The 23487-nt window shown below is 44.9% G+C and overlaps 1 annotated feature.

The window, feature by feature from the left end:
- Positions 15342–15842: an enhancer, noted in NCBI's record as "H3K4me1 hESC enhancer chr2:235311534-235312034 (GRCh37/hg19 assembly coordinates)". NCBI's record gives its function as "activates a minimal SCP1, AML or CMV promoter by ChIP-STARR-seq in primed H9 embryonic stem cells {active_cell/tissue: H9 hESC(primed)}" and the evidence as "EXISTENCE:reporter gene assay evidence [ECO:0000049][PMID:30033119]".

The raw sequence follows: 23487 nt of genomic DNA, 5'->3' as shown, positions 1-23487 counted from the left end.
AAGGAATTTAATGATGAGAGGGAGCCACCAGCCAAAGATGAGGAGCAGGGCAGAGGAGCTTAGGGACACTGGTCTGGGCAGAGATAACAGCAGGTGTGTGGCCTTCTTGGTACAGAGCTTCCCTCATGGGGAGAAATGGAAAGGAGGCCCAGACTTGTGGGAAGGGGAGGGCGGAATGAGATGAAGAAAGAAGCAGGCAGGGGTGGGTATGCAGATCCCGTTCCGAGCTTGGGATGTTTTTCCCCTACAACAAGAAGCCATCTGTATTAGTCTGTTCTCACGCTGCTAATAAAGACATACCTGAGAGTGGGTAATTTATAAAGGAAAGAGGTTTAATGAACTCGTAGTTCCACATGGCTGGAGAGGCCTCACAATCATGGCAGAAGGTGAAAGAGAAGCAAAGGCACATCTTACATGGCAGCAGGCAAGAGAGCGTGTGCAGAGGAACTCCCATTTATAAAACCATCAGATCTCATGAGACTTATTCACTACCATGAGAACAGTATGGGAAAAAACCCACCTCCATGATTCAATTACCTCCCACCAGGTCCCTCCCACAACACATGGGGATTACGGGAACTACATTTCAAGATGAGATTTGGGTGGGGACATAGCCAAACCATATCACCATCCTAAGATGGCATCATCTGATTTATAAAACATACATTCATTCTTGACACTTTAGGAAATACAGAAAAGAGTAAAAAACCATCATCCATGTTCCCTTCATTTTGCAATAATATTTGTTAACCTGTTGGTATATTTCCTGCCATCTTTTATGCTGTTGTTTCTTGCTTTAAAAAAAAAAAATCTATTATCCTCCAGGTGCGGTTGCTCATGCCTGTAATCCTGGCACTTTGGGAGACTGAGATGGGCGGATCACCTGCGGTCAGGAGTTTGAGACCAGCCTGGCCACCATGGAGAAACCCTGTCTGTACTAAAAATACAGAAATTAGCCAGGCATGGTGGTGGGTGCCTGTAATCCCAGCTACTTGGGAGGCTGAGGCAGGAGAATAGCTTGAACCCAGTAGGGCAGAGGATTCAGTGAGCCAAGATTGTGCCACTGCACTCCAGCCTGGACAAAAGAGTGAGACTCCATCTCAAAAAGAAAAGTATGATTATACAATGAATATTTTCCCATAACCTGAAATAGTCCACAAAAACCCTCTGTCTGCATAATATTCCAATACTATGCCATAATTTATTATTTCCCCTGTTTTTATTGTTTTCTTTTGTTTTTGCCATTATAGATGACATAATGATGGGCCTTCTCGCATGTAAAGCTTTTCTATCTATATTAATGCCATTATGGTCACCGTTAGCTCCGCTAGATGCAATTCTGGAAACACATTTTTCTATGCATAATTAGATATGCCACTAAGTAGCCCTTAATAACTTGACTGGCTTCAGGTTTAGACCTCAAATCTCATTCCTGCAGCCAAATGCACACGGCTGGAGCTAAGTCAATGTGGGCAATTTTTATATGGCCAGGAGCTTAATTACTTTGTGGATGCTGTAAACATCACAAACATATTTTCTAATGCTGGCAAAAGACATTAACATTTTCCACAGAAGAGGAATGCCTGAGGTTTACTTATAACTGTCTTCACTTCTATTTCCCTAGCTCTTAATGATGCCATTTCTCTCCTTCTCAGGTTATTATTTCATTTATGAAGAAACAATTTTGTCATTTTGGTACATCTGATATAAATAAATGAACTCAAATGTTCTACTGACAGGATGCATCTTTCTGCCCATGCTGTGTGGTGAATGATGGTGGACGAGAGGGCAGGCTGGGGCAGAAGTTATGGCGCTGCCAGCCCATTGGCAGCCCACAGGGGTGGTTGGCCATACTACTATCACTCTCCGTCTGATGTTAATATCGTGATGATGATGTGCTTGATGCAGAAACTAGAGAAATTCCTCACGGAGCTTACCTGTTGTCTAAAAGCGAAAACTGGTCAAACTGGTAAGAAAAAAAAAATCATGGTAAAACCGTCAGCTCCAGAGGTGAGGCTGGCCTCCCACTTGAGACTCCACTCAGCTCACAGCACAGAGTGGCTGGCCAGGACACAGAGGGCTCCAGGGCCACACCTGGACACCACCCCAGAGTGGCTGTCTCAGTCTCTGCTGCCGCAGTACACTGAGGGATGACAGCCACATGTGGGACACGGGGACACACCCTCATGCATCTGGTCAGATTCTTATAACATCCTTTCCAAATTTGCATGCAGGTAAATCACACCATGCAGATGTTATCAAGATATGAAGTGCCTTATAAATATGTGAGTATTAAAACCCCAATTTAAAAATCTCTGTGCACGTGTGTATGTCTGTGTGTGTGTGTGTGTGTGTGTGTGTGTGTGTGTGTGTTTTAATTATAAGGGGGAAAGATTTGGCTTTTCCAACTTTTTAATGTGAACTTTTAAATGAAGTATTTTTCTTTCAACTTGGAGCACTTGCCTACTTTTTCTAAATCCCCTTATACAATTCATAAAGGAACCAAGTATATTTTCCTTCGAAGACTAAGTGGATATCAACCTCACGTTGCAATCAAATGTCAACTTTGCATGTTTTTATCTCATTCAAATGAGTGGTGATACTGTCCATTTTACTGGTATCATCACTTCAGCTTCTTAGCACACCACAGACAGATGCCTTCCCTTCTGGAAACGCCTCCCTGTCTTGGCATCTTCATTACCATGTTCTCCTGGTCTCCCTCTCTCCTCCCTGCTGTTCCTTCTTGGTTTCTGCCCTGGGTGCCACCTCCTGGCTCTCCCCTGACTGTTCCCCTTGATGTGGTTCTCTGTCCTGGACTCATCTCTCTTCTCTGACCACACTGTAATCCTTGACTAGTGCCAGGACTTTTAAAAGCATCTATTGGCAAATGACTTCCACATCGTTTGTCTCCACCTCCCCACAACTCCCGACACTGTGTCTACTATATAATTGGCATCTCCCATGGATGCCTGATTGCCCTCTCTAGCTCAACATGGCCAAAACAATTCCGATCCCACAAACCTGCTCCTTCTGCAGATTCTATCACCTTTCTTTTCTCACTCCCTGTGTCTGGTTCTTCAACAAGTCTTATTATCTTTGCCTCCAAAACATGCTCCCAATTCATCTACTTCTATCTCCACCCCTACCATCCTGGTGTAAGGCACAATCTTTCACACCTCAACTACTGAAGTGGCTTCCTACCCGGCCTTCTGGATTCTGCTACTGTCTCCCAGAGCCCACTAAAGTGTGGTCTCCACGTTTTCATGATTTTTTACAACATTGGAATGAGATCATGGCAGTCTCTGCATAAACCTTACTGATGGACCTACAAAACACAAACACAATCTAAAGTCCCATCCTGGCTCACCAAGGTAAGCCTGACTTCAGCTTCCATCACTGAACACATTCTGTTCTCCTCTCCAGCCATGCTCTGTGTTGTCTCTGGCCCTCCACACTTTCCATGGTTCTTCTTTGATGGCAGGATATTTCCTTGCCTGTTACCTTTGTGTCAGCTCTTCCCTCTGCCTGGAATGCTCTTCCTTGCATTTCTACCTGGCTGGCACTTGTTCTTTGGAATTCTGCCAGTTGCCATCTCTTAGAGTGTCACCTTCACCACCCAGCTAGGATAGCACTCTATTACATCACCTCATTGCAGTTCTCTTTATAGCTCCTGTCACCAATGGATGTTTTTATTGTTAGGTTGGTTGCTTGTTTATTGGTTGTCTTATGGCAAACAATGCTGGTTCAAATGGAGCAAGGGTCTTTCTCTCGAAAACCCAATGTCATTGCTCAAAAGTAATGGTGAAATAAAGAAATGACGTGGTATCTGTGGATGCTATTTCCCTGCTTACAGAAATGTTCATAACTTGTATTGCATGCATCAGCCCTTGCCTTCTTCCTCATCAAAAGATGTATCCATGGGTGAGATTACAGAAGCATGGTATCTTTCACTTCCTGTGGGCATTAGCATAGATAAGATGGGTGAGGGTGCGGTCAGCTTCAGCACGGCATGCTAGCTGTAGCTCCAAATGCCAGGCGGAGCTCTTATCAGAAGCGTAAGCATAAATCTATGCTGGCTTAGAAAACATCTTAATTATAACACTCCTCATTTATAATGTCAGAGCTCATGTTACTGGGTGTTTCACATGCACCACCATTTTGTCTGTTCCTCTACATTTTAAGAGGCCTTTTGCCACGGTCACCATACATGCTGGATTTTCTTAGCCATTACACTCTATAGTACAATGGAAAGTCATACATTCCTTTAAATTCTATCAGAGGGAACAAAACCTTTCAAAGCCATTCTTAAGCCCATACATTTCTATTTATGCTGTAAAATAATAAATTGAACTGTTTTACAGAATATAAGAAATTAGGTGACAACTTCACCCCATTATTGTTATTGGGATTATAGCCTGCTTTTTTTTTTTTGAGATAGAGTCTCACTCTGTCACCCAGGCTGGAGTGCGGTGGCACGATCTCAGCTCACTGCAACCTCTGCCTCCTAGGTTCAAGCAATTCTCATGCCTCAGCCTCCCAAGTAGCTGGGACTACAGGCACGAGCTACCATGCCAGGCTAATTTTTGTAATTTTAGTAGAGATGGGGTTTCACCATGTTGGCCAGGCTGGTTTCAAACTCCTGACCTCAGATGATCTGCTCCACTCGGCCTCCCAAATTGCTGGGATTGTAGACGTGAGCCACTGAGCCCGGCCTATAGCCTGTTTTTAAAAATTGTTTTTATGGCTGGGTGCAGTGTCCCACGCCTGTAATCCCAGCACTTTGGGAGGCTGAGGCAGGCGGATCACGAGGTCAGGAGTTCAAGACCATCCTGGCTAACACAGTGAAACCCTGTCTCTACTAAAAATACAAAATTAGCCGGGTGTGGTGGCATATGCCTGTAGTCCCAGCTACTTAGAAGGCTGAGGTAAGAGAATTGCCTGAACCCAGGAGGCAGAGGTTGCAGTGAGCTGAGATCGCGCAATTGCACTCCAGCCTGAGCGACAGAGCGAGACTCCGCCTAAAAAAAAAAAAATTGTTTTTATTTGTCGTTTGCTTGTTTCAAGTTTTGTTCTTTTTTTTAATAATACAGATAAGCTACGACAAAGACTGTTTCTAGTTTAGTACATTTTGTAATCAAAGTACAGTGATTACACTTGTTTACTTAATCTCAACGCACACTGTCAGTCTTTTAACAACAGCTCTACCAATCTCTCATTTTTATCTTTGTGTCATCTTTAATAGTTCATTCAGGAAGTTATCCATAGGTTTGTTACTTGAGACCTTGCACACCTGAGACTATTTCAACAAAGGACTACTTGGTAGGATGAACAATTTTCAATCCATTGCAAAATCAAATTGTATTTTGATTTCAAATGTGTCATTCTTGTAAAGCTAGAGCTTGGTGATTCTTTGATTGTGTTTCTTTTTTCTTTTATCCTGATCTTAAATTACATAATTCCAGGGATAACTGGACAGGGATAAAACACGCTGGCCATTTATGTCTATGTTAGCATGCTTGGCGTGCCGTCTAAATCATGTATCACATTAGCTGCACAATACCATTGGGATACCTGGGCAACCTTCCATTTGACTGGGCTCTAGTGGATGGCACTAATTAATCCATAGATGATGCTGACCACTTTCCATCTGCCTCCTTTACTGGCATTGTCTCTCTGAGCCAGAAGACTCTGCCAAAGGGTTAGGTTACATCCTTCTCTGTCTACTCTGACACATGGACTTTTGGCCCTGCAGATTTGGGTGTGTCTCCGGCAGCCTGAGGATAAGCTGGGATAGTACTCTATGGGTCAGTATTACACTCTGTGGCCCCATCGCATGTTTCTCTCTCCACACTGTGCATATCCGTGCATGATGCCAGAGAGATGGTGTAGGAGTCATCCTCAAACTTGGCACTGGATCTAAGTACACGACAGGAAGCTAGCAATTTAGACGGAGTTCACACCCAGCGACTGCTCTGGCTAATGTCTAGGATTTTGAGGTACGCCTCCCCTCCGGGACAAGATCCTCTCCCATCAGATGGTCATGAACTGGTTCCCTTCCTACCATTTCCTGGAATGTGCCCCACCTTAGAGAACAGAAGCTTTTAAAGTTATTATCATTTTTATATGGTACTATGTTCTCTCTGCCTTTCCTTCTTAATGTGAAAATATGAGACATCGAAGCTATCCAACCCCCAAAAAAGTGATGACAACAGGAAAATCTCCCACCAGATTTGTTTAGGGGACATCACAAAGAAAATGAATTTGAGAAGACTACAGTTTTCTCCTCCTACAGACACGGCCCATTCAGTCTGTCTTGAGAAACAACTGCATACTTTCTCAGCTTAACAGAGATTTCTTCTTGGCTTTATTTATGTCCATCTCTCCATGCAGAATCAAAATCAGTTCAGGATTTATCATCCAAGGGGTCCACTGCGGAATGGCTGATGGCCCACACCTCTGCCTCCAGAACTCCCTAATAGCAGCATCTGGGGACTTCCTACAGATGCAGCTCCTGGACCCTCCCCCAGAGACACAAATTCAGTGGGTTATGTCAGGTCCAGAAATCTGTCCTATTTGAAAGCTTCCAATCATCAGTCCCAGTGGAGGAACCTCAGAGAATCTCAGCATCTGAGGTCTGTAAGGGCCATAGAGAGTAGTTCATTTAAGGCTCTGAGGGAAAACAGAAGGCTGAGACCACACAGCTCGTCAATGGCTTTGCTAAGCCACATGCAAAGTAGTTCAGTTTTATGTCCTGATGACTTATTTAAGAAAGGGACGCTTCTGTTACAGCTTATGAAAATTTGCGTCAACACAGCTTGCGTTTTCTAATAACTGTGCTGCAAGAGAAAAACCCTTTCCCACCATGAAAATGAAGCTCAACAAATGATGGCTTCTTGGGGACTCCAAGGAGCCCAGGTTTCCCTGAAAAGTAGATGGGATATTTAAGTCAGTTACTTTGCTGCCCCAATATATTGCAACATAATTATTTGCATTGTGGTCCAGAATTTCAATTTAGAAGCCCAACTTAGGGGTGAGCAGTGGGCAGTGAAATCTGTTTGAAATACAACATGAAGTCTTAGAAAAAAATGACTTACTAAACGAGTTATCCTAGTTAGAGCTTCTACACACATTAGACACTTGTTGTATGGTTTTTGTTTGATTTTTTGAGATAGAGTCTTGCACTGATGCCCAGGCTGGAGTGCAGTGGTACGATCTCGGCCCACTGCAACCTCCACCTCCTGAGTTCAGGCAATTCTCTTGCCTCAGCCTCCCGAGTAGCTGGGACTACAGGTGCCCGCCATGACGCCCGGCTAATTTTTGTATTTTTAGTAGAGACGGGGTTTCACCATGTTGGTCAGGCTGGTCTTGAACTCCTGACCTTGTGATCCGCCCACTTCGGCCTCCCGAAGTGCTGGGATTACAGGCGTGAGCCACAGCACCCGGAGCACTTGTTTGCTTTTAGACTAGCTGGAAAGTCATTTAAATAAGAGGGGAAAGAGTGACCTCTTCTTTGTTTCTATTCTGCTGTGTGATTGAAACCCTACCTGTTTATTATAGTTGACATGTAATCTTTTTTTGAAATGCATTTTACTGTTTTGAGACAATAGTTTTAACCATGATTTGGGATGAGTGGATTTCTCACATTGCTTACATTAGATTCTTAATTCTTCTTGGAGTCAGTGTGAGCTACACACAAATATAAGAGTTGAGCCAGCTATGAGAAAGCTTATCATCAGTCTTCATTGGAAAGTAGAAGGTTACTAATATTTAGAACACATCTGAGAATGTGTGAGTTAAACCCTTACGTTTATCCATCAGCCAGAGTGATGAAAGCGACAGAGTCAATTTTTAAGATCGAGTTTTCCTGGGCGCTCTCGCCAGGCTAAGTCTCTGACAATAGTGATTATATCCTTTCTAGGACAGGGGCTTCAGAGAAAGAATGTGAGCTATGCAGAGAAGCGAATGAGGAATGTGTTCACCTCTTAGCCTCAACCCATGGGTCAGAAAAAGACATCCCTGGAACTGGAGCTTTGAAAGCAGAAGATAAACATGATGGATATCAGAGAACTTAAAAGAGAGCAAGGGCCAGGGTCCAGGAGACCAGGATTGTTAGGCTGAGCAGCTGGAGAGCCCTGCAGGGCTGGTGGACTCTGAGGGTGGTGGAGGGGACTCACATACTGAGCACCTTTCCTGTGCTTCTCACTCACTTGCTCAGGTTTTCACAACAGTGGAAAGAGATGCTTAGAAGGGGAATTACCTGCCCAAGGATGCAGAGTGGGTGGCTGAGCAGGAGCCCAGCCCTGGCAGGACGGACTTCCCACTCTACCAGGAAATACGCCAGAGGAGTCTGAACTCCGCCATCTTGAAATCTTAAAGCAACTGAAATCTAAAAGTGACTGAAATCTTAAAGCAACTGAAATCTAAAAGTGACTGAAATCTTGGAAGATCTGTTCGTGCTGAGTGTCTCCTGTGGGAACAAATCAAAGGCTGAGGCAGGGAGAAGCTCTCGCTGCAGCCCTGCGGATCACTTCTCCAGGCCTAGGGCTGAGGGATCTCTGGGGACTGCACTGAGCCCCGCCACCTCACACCACCATCCCGGGCTCTTCATGCTGTGGGTTCCGCTGTTTGCCCTAAAATTCCCTGCAGGTCCACTGAATTCTAGAGAACCGGACTCTGTGCTGGGGCCATTACAAGTTCTCCTGCCTCTGACATTTGAATGCTCTGCCCTGGACCCATGGACTCTGCCCCAAGCCCTCATGAGGAATTTGACCCCATCCTTTAGTGCCCAGCTCAAAAGCCAGCTCCGTTAGCAGACCCGGTGACTCTCGGGTACCCCGGCCATGTTGTTTGTGCCTCTTTCTACTCCCTGCCGTCTAAGTTTAATCCATCCAATTAATTTCACATATATTTATTTACTTAAAAATTATTACGTAATATTCACTACATCCTCCTCTAATGTGGATCAATTAGGTTTTTGATGGGGATCAATTATGTTTTTTGGGCATCACGAGGAAGTCATGGATTGAAATGTTTGCTGAGTTTTTAATCTATCGTGGTATTGTTTTTATTAAAGCACAGATGGTTGCATTGCAGGCAGGTAGGAGCCCCTACAAGTTGATGGCTGAGTCCTTAAGGCTCTACTGTGGTTTTTATTTTATCTTACTTTTTATTTTGTGTTATTTTATTTTATTTTGAGATGGAGTCTTGCTTTGTCACCCAGGCTGGAGTGTAGTGGTGCAATCTTGGCTCACTGCAACCTCTGCCTCCCAGGTTGAAGAGATTCTCCTACCTCAGCCTCCCAAGTAGCTGAGATTACAGGCGCCCACGACCACGCCTGGCTAATTTTTGTATTTTCGGTAGAGACGGGGTTTCACTATGTTGGCCAGGCTGGTCTCGAACTCCTAACCTCAAGTGATCTGCCTGTCTTGGCCTCCCAAAGTGCGGGGATTACAGGCATGAGCTACTGTGCCCAGTACTGTGGTCTTTACTAACCGCCTTGCCCTTTGGTACAAGATACCCAGGCTCATTCACCTGCCTGGATCAGCCACTTCTCCAGGCTGCTCTGTTTTCCTTTGTCACCAGAACTTTGAATTTGGCCAGTCTAGGAAGAGTAAAATGGCATCTCCCCTCAATTATAATTTGTATTTCTTGGACTTTTAATAATACTGTACATGGTTTCATATATTTATTTGGTAGGTATCTTTCCTGTTCTGTGATGACTGCCCAGGATTTTGTCTAATTTATATATATGAATGTATATATAGGTATGTGCATATATGCATGTACACAAATGTATATATTCATGTCAGTATGTACATCCATGTACATACATGTGTGTATGTATGTATGTGTATACACAGTCATGTGTTGCTTAATGTCCAAGATGCATTCTGAGAAATGCGTTGTTAGGCGACTTTGTCATTGTGTGAACATCATAGCATGTGCTCACACAAACCTAGATGGCCTAGCATACTCCACACCTAGGCTATATGGGATAGCCTATTATTCCTAGGCTTCAAACCTGCACAGAATGTGACTGTACTAGTGTACTGAATACTGTAAGCAATTATAATGCAATGGTTAGTATGTAGAAAAGGTACAGTAGAAATAGGGTATAAAAGATAAAAATGGTGGCTGGGTGCGGTGGCTCACACCAGTAATCCCAGCACTTTGGGAGGCTGAGGTGGGCAGATCACGAAGTCAAGAGATCGAGACCGTCCCGACCAACATGGTGAAACCCCATAAAAATACAAAAATTAGCTGGGCATGGTGGCGAGCCCCTGTAGTCCCAGCTACTCAGGAGGCTGAGGCAGGAGAATAGCTTGAACCTGGGAGGTGGAGCTTGCAGTAAGCTGAGATCATGCCACTGTACTCCAGCCTGTTGACAGAGCAAGACTCTGTCTCAAAAAAAAAAAAAAAAAAAAAAAAGATACGGTACTTACCATGAATGGAGCCTGAGCGACTGGAAGTTGCTCTGAGTGGGTGAATGAGTGACTGGTGGGTGAGTGTGAAGGCCTAGGACAGTACTGTACTGTGAAGAGTTTATAAACATTGGACACTGAGACTGAGACTATACTACATTTATAAAAACATTTTCCTGGCTGGGTGCAGTGGCTCACACCTGTAATCCCAGCACTTTGGAAGACCGAGGCGGGCAGATCACTTGAGGCCAGGAGTTCGAGACCAGCCTAGCCAACATGGTGAATCCCCATCTCTACTAAAAATAGAAAAAATTAAAAAAAAAAATTAGCTGAGTGTGGTGGCGCATGCCTGTAATCCCAGCTACTCGGGTGGCTGAGGCATGAGAATTGCTTGAACCCGAGAGGCAGAGGTTGTAGTGAGCAGAGATTGCACCACTGCACTCCAGCCTGGGCAACAGAATGAGACTCTGTCTCGAAAAAACAAAAACAAACAAACAAAAACACCTTTTTTCAATAATAAATTTATCTTACTTTAACTTTTTTACTTTATAAACATTTTAATTTTTAAAAAGTTGACTCTTGTAATAATACTTAACTTAGAACACAAACACATTGTACAGCTGTACCAAATATTTTTGTCTTTATATTCTCATTCTATATGCTTTTTTCTATTTTAAAATTTTCAATTTTTTTAACTTTTTAAACTTTTTTATTAAAAACTAAGACATAAACACACACATTAGCCTAGGCCTACACAGGGTCAGAATCATCTATATCACTGTCTTCCACCTCCACATAACTGTCCCACTGGAAGGTTTTCAGGGGCAATTACATGCATAGAGCTGTCATCTCCTATGATGACAGTGCCTTCTTCTGGAATACCTCCTGAGGGAGCTGCCTGAGGCTGTTTTACAATTAACTTTAAATATATATATATATATATATATATATATATATATATATATATATATGTATATATATATATATGTATATATATATATATATGTATATATACACATATGTGTGTGTGTGTGTGTGTGTAGAAGGAGTGCATTCTGAAATAATGATTAAAAGCAGGGTGTTATAAATATATAAGCCAGTACCATGTACTGTACGTAATTGTATGTGCTACTCTTTTATACAACAGGCAGCATGGTAGGTTGCTTACACCAGCACCACCACGATGTCTTATGCCACGTGAAGATGGCTATGGCGTCACTGCTAGGTGATAGGAATTTTCCAGCTCCATTATAATCCTATGGGATTATCATCATATATGTGGTTCATCCTTGACCCTGACTGTATATTGCTAATCGATTTATAGGCATTCATTATTTATTCTGCACAATAATCATTTATCAGTTTTATGTTTTACAAATATCTTCCCTGTCTTACATGTCATCTTATCACTTTATGATGTCTCTTTTAGGACAAAACTTTTAAATTTTATATCCACAGATTAAAAACATTATTGTCAAATAAAGCACATTTAGAGGAAAAAAAAAACCCCATGAAACCAAATGTACAGCTTAGTGAACTATCGCAGAGCGAATACTTGCAACCTCTCTTCATGTCAGGAGAAAAGTCACAGCCAGCAGCCAGCATCAGTCACTGCTTCCCCTCCCTTCTAGATCCCACGTTCAAGGCAACAGCATCCTCACCTTTCTTTGTGGTTATTTCTGTGAACTTGTATCTCTAAACATTATTAGTCTAGTTCTTCCTATTTGAGGGGCCATTTATATAAATGAAGATACACAGAATGATCTTTTTGTGTGTGTTCTTTCACTTAAGTTTTTGGGAAATTCACAAAATGATTCTAAAATTACTGCGAAAATGGACGTGCCAAGAATAACAAAACAAACTTGAAGAACAACATTGGAGGACTTCATGTTACTGGATAGAAAGACTTCTCATAGAGCTTTGGCAATAAAGACTGCGCGTGCTGTCTTCCATTGTAGGGATACGCTGCGATGTATTCATCCATCGTGGAGTTGGTGGACATTTGTGTTGTTGCCAGCTGGTGGCGGTCATGAATAATGCTGCTACATGCATGCCTGTGTCCATCTCTTGTAACATCTGTGCAAGCATTTCTGTGGGGTATATGCCTAAGAGGGAAATTATAGGTAGGTGGTTGCAGGTAGAGTGACCACACCTTCTCTTTGATTCAGATAGCCCAAGTTTGTGTTTTCGATCATGTCCTAGCTTAATATATTGTCTTATATGAATATCCAATTGTTTTGGAATAATTTACTGTAAAGATGACCATTTTCCCAGTGCTCTAGAACGCCATCTTTGTCATAAGTTAAGTGTTCATATACACTGCTTCTCTTATCGTCTCCACCTGAAAAAACTCTGAATTCATTTGCCAGGTTGAGTGACCCCACCTTATGGAAATGTTTACTCTCTTCCTTCTAGGTGCCTCTCTAGGAGTGCACACCCCCCATCACTCATCATAGGAAGGGGACTCTTGTTTTGGCCAGACTGTAAGGTCTTTGAGTTATGCCTTATTTATTCTTCCTTCTGCCCCAGCCCCTCTGCTAATTACTGAATGGAATGAGTGTATTACCAGCAGTCCTCATCATAACCATGCTGACATTTACCCAGCACTAAGTGCTATATTCATTTGTGATTCATCCTTTGTACACTCTATATGAAGTAGGCACTTCTAGTATCCCACCCTATGAAAGAGGAAACTAGTGCTTTGAAGGAAAGCACCTTGTCCGGGTAACAGAGCTAGGGAGTGGTCAAGCCAGGACTGACAACTGACAACTGTCAGTCTGGCTCCAAGTACTGTCAGTCTGGCTGTGATGAGAGTCATACATTCCATTTACGGAGGTGTCCTTGGTGGAGCTGGACCTTAGAGCTGTAAGTTCAGGCCTGCCAGGTGCTCGCTCTTCTGGCATATCAGCTTCACGTTGAACTGACTGACCATGCTTTCAGGTCATTCCCCAGCCTGACGACAGGCACTAGCCTCACCTGCAGCTGGCTGGAGGTTGCACAGATTTCTCCTACTGTTGGGGGAAAATCCAGAGCAGTTTTTTTTTTCTCTCTCTAGGCTCTATATCAACACAGCAGAGCTCCTGTTTCCTTTCCGTGGAACTCATTTCATTTCTTATTGTGTTCAAACTTCCTTCTTTTGTGTAGGGATTCCCCTATTTCCGGTCAAGCTCTTAATTTTTCTTTGCCTCCATTGCTGTTCAGCCTGAGTATCAGGAAGGATCCCGCCCTCCTTGGAGCTGAGCCCTGGAGCCTCACGGAAGTCTTGCGATGGGACAGGTGCTGCTGAAGGGCATCCGCAGGCTGATAGCAAAGACCCCATCCGGATGCCATCTCTTGCAATCTACCATAGTGATTATGAAGATGATCCCTGGTTATTTTTCTTATAAGAAATCACCTCAAGCCAGCCAGTTGATTAGAAATATTGACAGGTATTCACAGAATAAATTTAATTTGAATTCCTTACACAAGCAAGTTTTCAGAAGGTTCATTTGTTAATCGATTTATCTGGAAATGAGAAAGCCCCTTTTCCATAGAAGTGTAGGTCCACACAGGCTCGTCTAATATAATCTCAAATAATAGATCATTTTAATGAGAAAGGTAGTAAGCAATGCAGTGACATCACTAGTAATGATGCAGTTTTATAATCATACCTCCGTGAAACTCAATATAAAACCTGTCCAAATGTAGAATGCAATGAAAAGTCAATAGGCGGCCGGGCACGGTGGCTCACGCCTGTAATCCCAGCACTTTGGGAGGCCAAGGAGGGCAGATCACCTGAGGTCAGGAGTTCAAGACCAGCCTGGCCAACATGGTGAAACCCCGTCTCTACTAAAAATACAAAAATTAGCTGGGCATGGTGGCAGGCACCTGTAATCCCAGCTACTCAGGAAGCTAAGAAGAATTGCTTGAACCTGGGAGGCAGAGGTTGCAGTGAGCTGAGATCATGCCATTGCACTCCAGCCTGGGGGACAAGAGTGAGACTTCATGTCAAAAAAAAAAAAAAGAAAAGTCAATAAGCAATAGGCTTTTGTGGAGATGTTACATGGAATTTAGAGTTTTTAAGAGCTTTAAAAAAGCCTAACATTATACTTAATTTCACCTTAAAAGTGGGGCTTTATTTTTCCTGGAGCAACTGAATTGATTGTACTACCCAGCGCATATTGATTGTACACTCTTGTTGCCCAGGCTGGAGTGCAATGGTGCTAATCATGGTCAGGTATTACCATGATTAACACCATGGTGAGGACTGGTATTTGTTGAACTGAACATGTCTTTTAACATAAGAATCAGTAAAAGCCATGGGAGCTATTCAAAAACTGTTCCCTCATTCTGTTTTCCCAACAACTATGAGAGAAGGATTATTCCCATTGTAGGAAACTGAAGTCCAGAAAGGATTAAGTTACCCATTAGTAAACTGGATAGATCAGACCCAAGCTATACTCATTCCAATATCCCACATTGCTTCACAAAGAGAGGGAACTGAACAGAGAAGAAAGAGAAGTGTGTGCGCCCCAGCACAAGGGAGGGAGAAAGGAATATTCTCCTGAACTCCCATTCTTGGATGTTCACCCTCTGGCCAGTGCTTCTTGGGTATTATTCCACCTAATCCTCACAATAACCCCAAATGAGGTGACTCATCACTCCCATGTTGCATGTAGGGAAACTGAGGCATGGAAGGGTGAAGTTGCTTGTCTAAAGACACATCTCGAGCAAGCAGGGCAAGCTGGGCTTTGCACTCAGACAGGATGCCTCTGAGCCAGCTGGCTCGCCTGTTCCTTATGCTGCACTGGCCCCCTGAAGATGGCAAGAGGCACCCAGTGACCAGTTATAAGACAGGCAGACAGGGTGATGGGATGGCCGCTGGGAGCCGGGAGACTTCAGCTGAGAAGGCTGCTCCAGGGAGACAACCTGCCAGAATGAAAAGGAGGAACTCATGTGCAGCCCTGGGACAGGGACAGCCAGACCTAACTGGCATCACATATGGTGATGATGCAGCGTGGGTCCAGTCACTGGGCAGTGAGCAAGCTGGGTCGACCACAGGGAATGCGGCCTCCAGCCAACTCAGACTTTCTTGACTCCAGTCGGCCTCTCACACTCTGGAGCTCGTGCAGAAGGACACGATGGGCATGCACATTTGGGGACTTCCAAGAAGATCTTGGGCAACATCTCTGGCCAAGGTCCACTGTGATGGAAAAGGCAGAGACAGACTTTCCCAGAGAGATGCAGAGGCCCCCACAGCTGGAAGGAGCTCTGCAAGTTTGGGGATTTGAAACATCAGAGAAAGTGTGAATAGTGAAGGAGGTGGAAAGGGAGATAGAGAAAGACACTGAGAGACAGACAGGCAGACAGAAAGAGGGGTGGGCAGAACCCGGACGTGCAATTATTTCTCATTGCCCTGGAGTGCCACGAGGTGATTGGTGCCGGGAAGTAACAGGATCGTGCTCTGAATAACATATTAAAGAGGTCCTAGATGACGAGTTAGTGGGTGCAGCACACCAGCATGGCACATGTATACATATGTAACTAACCTGCACAATGTGCACATGTACCCTAAAACTTAAAGTATAATAATAAAAAAAAAAAGAGGTCCTGGGGACTGCAGTGAGTCCTCCAGCAGTGGACTTGTCTTCCATGGTCCTTGTCCTTCCTGGCTAGGCACTCTCAGTAACCCCACCCCCTCCATATCTCACACCCAGATTTTTAGCTCAAGAAGGGAGAAGACAAGTAAATGGGTGAGTCGTTTCTTTCTTTCTTCTTTGTTTCTTTCTTTCTTCCTTTCTTTCTTTCTCTTTCTTTCTCTTTCTTTCTTTCTCTTTCTCTCTTTCTTTCTTTTGATGGAGTTTTGCTCTTGTTGCCCAGGCTGGAGTGCAATGGTGCGATCTCAGCTCACCGCAACCTCAAGCAATTCTCCTGCCTCAGCCTCCCTAGTAGCTGGGATTACAGGCGCCCACCACCACGCCCGGCTAAGTTTTTGTATTTTTAGTAGAGACAAGGTTTCACCATGTTGGCCAGACTGGTCTCAAACTCCTGACCTTGGCCTCCCAAAGTGCTGGGATTACAAGTGTGAGCCACTGTGCCCAGCCATGGGTGAGTCTTTCATTATGAGTAAATCAAATTTAATCAATGACCTCTTGGGAAGCCTGGGATTGTTTCACCACTTTTACTCCATAGTCACTCCTTTAAAAGAGCACCTTTGATGCCGTGCCATACTGGAAATGTGGAAAAACATCTATTCATACCCTAGTTTCCCAATAAATACTTGTGCATTCAATTGGATTTTTTTTCTACAGTTGGAAGCCAAATTGTGAGTTCTTCGTATATTTCAAATTAGCGAAGAAAACAATGAATGCAAACTACAAAATGAGAAAACAGTTAACTACGGCAGGAAAAGGAGGCCACTCTGGCTGTAGTCTCCACATGTAGTTTTAATTTTAACATTATCAATGTTCGGTTCCAGCATTATGAAATCAGTCACTGAGGTGTTTCTTGGAACAATAAAATGGCCCCAAATGTTTGCCTTCTGGTTGTAATTGTTCTGCATGCAAAATGTGCCATCCTCTCAACATACGTTCCAAATGGACTTTATCAAACATAAAAAGGAAGGAAGGAATGTCAAGCTAAAGAGTTCCCAATATCCGCCTAAGCACCCTGGGGATGGCTCAGTCCCTAATGATGGCCTTGGATCACAGAGTGCATGGTTGTCATCACATTTAAACACCTGCATTTTCCACTCAGCAATCAGATTACTCACAGTGATCTTAAATTCTGAGAATGTTGAAAGCCTGAGGATGTGGGCCAGAGCATGCTACAGATACTTGTAATTTTCACTGGGAAGACCATTTTTATGAACTTATTCTAAGAAATTACATCATAAAATTTCTTATGCTCAGTTTCTCTTAACTCTAACTCCAGAAAGAAAGGCAAGACTTAAGAGTGCTTTCTAATATATTAGGCACTGGACTGACATAATCTCACTTAAAGCTAAGAAAATCAAATAATTTTATTTTTGTTACTCCGTCTTCCCCAATTTCGTAGATAAGGAAGTGAAGGATTAGAACCAGCCTAAGGCCACACAACAATTAAGCCATTAAACAGAAGACCTGGGATTAGAACCCATTCACACCTCCTTCAGAGCCTGGATCCCTAACTCCTATTTTACTCTGCGTCCCTGACTCCTTTCTAACAGGAAGGTTATTTTTCCACAAGAGAGATCCTAAGATAGCTCACAGGCCTGCACTGATTCATCCATTCTCTCTCTTTTTGTTTTTTTAACTTTTAAGTTCAGGGGTACTTGTGCACATGCACGTGTATGTTCACTGCAGCACTATTCACAATCGCAAAGATATGGAATCAACCTAAATACCCAACAATGATAGACTGGATCAAGAAAATGTGGTACATACACAGCCTGGAATACTATGCAGCCATAAAAAAGAATGAGATCATGTCCTTTGCAGAAACACAGATGGAGCTGGAAGCCGTTATCCCTAGCAAACTGACACACGAACAGAAAACTATCCATGGCAGGAGTGGCTAAGTGCTTTGGAAGCTGTGAAGAATGCTACTTTGGTTATCAAGAACACTGGTGGTTAGTTCCCCCCACCACCATTTTCCATTTATCAGTGGATATTTGGTGTGACCTGGAGCATGTTAGAACTTCAGGTTCTTCAGCTACAGACTAGGATAAGAAAACTGGGAGGATCAAGTGGATAAAGTAGGCGAAATCCTTGTCCTGAATCTCAGGAAACACTCAACCACCTTAGTTTATCAGTTTAATTCTTACTATTGTCATCTGTAGTTGGGTTTAGGAAAACATCTCAGAGAATGTTTGGTTTTAACCCTGAGATGGATGACGATCAAGGACCCTCGACAGTTGTCCAGGTAGGGGGCCCTGATACAGGGCAGACCACGTGCGTCCCATACGAATAATAACTCCAGGGTTCTGGCTGCCTCCCTCTCTGACCGGTGCCTCTCTGCTGCCCCAACATTATCTGGGGACACTGGGACTATCATGCCTGCACCATTTTTGTGTCAGGGAAATGTAAAAAACCTTATTCATTTTTCCATCTTTGCTTTGAATAGAGAGAGGAATGCTGCATTCTTCCAGAGGTTCTCACATGTTAATATTCATCAGATTCTCTTAGGAGGTTATTTGGGGATGCAGATTCCTGTCTTACCACAGAGATTCCAATTTAGCTGGCCGAGGGTAGTGGTTAGACCCCAGAATCTGCATTTAACCAAGCACATCAGTCATTCTGAGATCCCCTGAAAACTTGGGCCTCAAGAACTGAAACCTCAGGGGCACCCTTGGCCAGGCCAGATGTAAACAGAAATTAGGACTCACAGAGGGTTGCATTCCTGAGTGGTTCCTGGTGCCAGCTCTGCCTTAAGCAGGGTTTTCTACGCACTGTCTTATTCAACCCCTATGATATACCCCCGATGGGCGCTGTTCCAATCATTCCCACCCTGGGTGAGATGAGAAGGCCCAAGCTTGTGAGCACAGCAGGTTTGGAGTCTGCATCTGGGGCAGATCCTAACCCCGCTGCACCCATCTGCCCTCGTGCTCACGTGCCTCTTAACTGTCTCCACGGTTTTCAAATTCATCTTCTTCCCTCACTGGTCCCTGGTGTCCTGGGGTTCCTCTGACCAAGGTGCATGTTTGTGGCCATGCTCCCAGGAGGATGCAGCCCACCCACCATTGTATTCAAGCCTCAGATGTTTTGTGACCAAGCTCTCCAAACGCCAGCCTTACATTCTGCCTTGGGTCACTGGACTCTCTCCAGGTTTGCTGTAGCACCCTGTGCAATTTAACGGGATGCAGGCATGTTGCATGGGAAGTGGCAATAGAAATGACGTATTGGGCCGGGCACAGTGGCTCATGCCTGTAATCCCAGCACTTTGGGAGGCCAAGGCGGGTGGATCATCTGAGGTCGGGAGTTTGAGACCAGCCTGACCAACATGGAGAAACCCCGTCTCTACTAAAAATACAAAATTAGCCGGGCATGATGGCGCATGCCTGTAATCCCAGCTACTCAGGAAGGCTGAGGCAAGAGAATCGCTTGAACCCGGGAGGCAGAGGTTGCAGTGAGCCGAGATCGCACCATTGCACTCCAGCCCTGGGCAACAAGAGTGAAACTCCATCTCAAAAAAAAAAAAAAAAGAAAAGAAAAGAAAAAGAAAGAAATGACGTATAGGTGCTGAGCTGTAAGGCTTGCGTTGGTGCCTGTGGTAGAGGTTGGCTGTCCGAATCCCTTGCCAATACCCTCGGAGCACTGAGGCAGAGGAAATTATACCCTGGGACTGCTTAAGGATGCTGATGATATGCAGCAGGATTTCCATTTTTTTCCCCCCACAGGGAAAGCACCTAGTAATTACACTTGAAGTTGGGACTTTGAAGGACAGAGGATGGGTCTTTTTTGACCTTTTGATGGTGAGGCCAAGCTGTGATTAGAGACCTGGCCTCCTGGCCCAGCAGTTGATGGGTGGGTGGGGCAGCCCACGCACTCCTAGCTGCCAACCCAGAGAATCTGTTGAGCAGCTTCTCCCTGGGCTGCAGCTGCCTGCACCCCACCACAGGAGTAAGAGCACCCAGAGTGGAAGGATGAGGGTGGGAATGGAGACTGAGCAGACAACACTTAGGAAATGAGACAGGGCTGGTCTGGCCACGGATTCCACAGGGAGCAGCCATAGAGAGAGAGCAGAAACTCCGGAAGTGAGTGGTGAACCAATGTGCTCAGATTTCTTGGGAATGGTCTGATTTAACATATTGTGCCTCTCTTCCTTTAAACCATTAAAACTCTCAGATGTTTTGATGCTTCAGAATACAAACTCCATTTGCCAGACCCACGTTTAACATTAAGAAATAGCATTGGCCGGGCGTGGTGGCTCATGTCTGTAATCCCAGCACTTTGGGAGGCCGAGGCGGGCGGATCACGAGGTCAAGAGATCGAGACCATCCTGGCCAACATGGTGAAACCCCACCCCATCTCTACTAAAAATACAAAAATTGGCCGGGCATGGTAGTGCACGCCTGTAGTCACAGCTACTCAGGAGGCTGAGAGAGGAGAATCACTTGAACCCAGGAGGCGGAGGTTGAAGTGAGCCGAGATCACGCCACTGCACTCCAGCCTGGTGACAGAGTGAGGCTCCGTCTCAACAACAACAACAACAAGAAATAGCATTGCAGCTTTTGTCATTTATTTAGAAAAACACTGAGTTTGCTCTAACTGAATTGGGAAATACCCATATCCAATAACACGCAGATTCTTAGGGAACATTAGCAAATCCTCTGAGTTTTTAAGACATCAACAGTGGATGGGTATGCTTACATAGCAAGACTCAGGGAAGGCCTGTGCTGCTCCCAACTCCTGGGGCCCCCGCTTGCCAAATAAATATAAGTCATCCAACATCTCCTGCTGCCGACCGTGAGCTTGACGCTGCATCCCACAGTGGACTGAGATGGGGAAGATGGGCCTCTGCCACCTTGGAGCTCTCAGGATGGTCAGATCCCCTGAGAGTAACGGAGAGCACAGACCCTTGGAGATGGCGAAGCCCTCACCATTCCCTCTCTGACCCTGCATCCACTCACAAAGTTCATCCGATTCAGGGGCAACCAGAGCTTCGTGCCCTGCCGCTCTCTGCTCCCACCTAAGAGATTGAGCATCCATCCTGTAAAGCTCACTGCAGGTTTTCCTTGAGCAAGGGGTCAGCCAGTGGGGATTATTTTGGGGATTCTGGGAAGGTTCCTGCCTTGAAATGTTCTCCTTCATGGTGCTATGCTGCTTAAACCCTCTTTTGAGTAAATGCTGCTCTCCACAGCAATGTTTTTCAAAAAGTGAGTACCAAGCCCAGTGCGGTGGCTCACACCTGTGAGTTTGAGACCAGCCTGGGCCACATCACAAGACCTCGTCTGTAAAAAAATTAGCCTGGCATAGTGGCGTGTGCCTGTAGTTCCAGTTACTTGGGAGGCTGAGGCAGGAGGATCACTTAAGCCCAGGAGTTCAAGAGTGCAGTGAGCTGTGATCGCACCACCGCACTCAAGCCTGGGCGACAGAGTGAGACCCCATCTCTGAAAAAGAAAAAACAAAAAGCAAGTGCTGATGGAGAGAGTTTTAGGACAGATTTCTGCATATTTACCTTATATATTTATATATTTGTATATTTTCCTTACACTCCCTTAGGATACTTTTCTATATATGCCTAGGAATGGAAGTGCTAGTAGACCAGCCTGAGAGCGGATTAGTTAACTAAACTATATCTTAGATAATAGAAAATAAATTTGTATTGCCCAGTAAGTTATAATGAAGGAAATGAAATACTGAAGGTCCATGTACCCATCCCAGCTCCAACCTAGTGTGCTGATCCTGGCCATCAGAGAGGACATGACTTTCCCATTTGCTGGTGGAACAAATCACCACAAATGTAATGAGCTGAGAGCTTGTCGCCAAGGGGTTCTGCCGTGCAGTGAGCTGGAGCTCTGTGGCAGGGTGTGCAAGCAGCCCACGGTGCTGGCTCGTGTTGGTGGCATTCTGAGCGTGGGGAAAGCATGTGTTAACAATGCACCATAACATGTTCCATTAGTTATGTGTGTATGTGTGTTTCGAGGTAAATATTTCGGAGTTAAAAACCATTTTAGCAAATTATGCTAAAATGATGAGCATGTGTGAGGTAGCATTCCACAGTGTTTCCAGTTACTTCTGAACAACTCTTCTGTTTTATTTGAATGTTTTACTAAGGAGGTATTTTCTTCTGCAGCCACATATCACGAACACAGTAGCTTTCTACAGTTTACATGCAGCCAGTATGGAGTGGAGTTTGGCCTTAAACTCAGGCAGTTTGGCTCCAGAAACTATGCGTTTAATTCTGTCCCTATTCTGATAGAGTCAAGGTCTCACTTACTGCAGAGGACAGAGCTGTCAGGGTGTAGGGAGATCACACTGAGAAGCACCAGTCTTGGGTGTTTCCAGCACCTGGTGTGGTAAAGCGATCCCTGGCTGCACAGCTGTGGTCATTAAGATGTTCTGGAAATGGCAGGCTCAGCCCAACGCATTAGCCCTTCTCACCAGCAGCAGGACAGGGACTACAGAGGGGTCCGCCTCCTCCAGCTGTCAGTTCACATGTCAGGTCTGGAGGCCATGATCTGACCCTCTGTGCTTGGCGTGAGGCTGGGTGACAGCCAGCCCACCAGGCTGCAACCTTCTCCTGCCCTGGCATTTCAGATGGGTTCTTATGCCCAGAATTGTGTCTCTGCCCTTTTGAGGCCCTGAAGGTAATCAGGCTCTCTGCACACACAGGCGGTTTGCACAGGCCTGGCACCCTGTGGTGCACGTCAGCCCATCTCTCACAGCACAGCTGCTCCACTTACCCTGGCTGGGGGCCAGCTCAGAATCCCAAACACTACCACCTGTCTCTCATTGAGTCCAGCTACTTCCTAAACCTCCTCCCGCCTGATTAGATCCCTTTGCTCATGCTGCAAGAGGTGGTAGGTGACCCTCTTCCCCCAGCATTGTCAGAAAAGCTGCTTCCTTTCTCCTGGGACCAAGGGAGCTGCCTCCTCATCCTCCAAACCAGGCTTGTCTTTCCCCAAATCCCAAACACGTGCAAAACTTACTGGATCCAGTGGAGGAAGCGCCTCCACCTCAACCCCAGAGATCAGCGTGCCAAGGAGGGAGTGACTACCCTGTAGGGACTGCTCCATCAATGGGAAAGCCAGCATCAACTTCTAATGAACCAGACAATGGATGCCAACCTGCTGGAGGGCCGAAGGGGCCAAACTTGCACAATCTGCAATGTTATCGGCTGCTCCTGGGAACACCAGGCACAGTCCTTCCATCTCCAGGTTCCAGTTCTTCATTCCTCAAGAGTCCTTCTGGAGAGCTTCCATGAAGAAGTGGGGAGCGGTTCCCAGCTTGTGGTAGCGAAATATCTTTCACTGACAGATGGTTCCCTAACTGGAAAGGAGAAGCCTCTGGATAGAATGTTGGAAGGGCCACTGAAGGAGAAAGAAGTTAGCACAAAGAGCATTCCCTCTACCCCAAAGGCTGGGCTCGGGGGCTCACACCTATAA

Source organism: Homo sapiens, chromosome 2 (assembly GCF_000001405.40).
Source record: "Homo sapiens chromosome 2, GRCh38.p14 Primary Assembly".
Classification (NCBI taxonomy): domain Eukaryota; kingdom Metazoa; phylum Chordata; class Mammalia; order Primates; family Hominidae; genus Homo; species Homo sapiens.
Note: the sequence above shows the minus strand (reverse complement) of the source record. Positions and strands in the feature narration are given on the sequence as shown.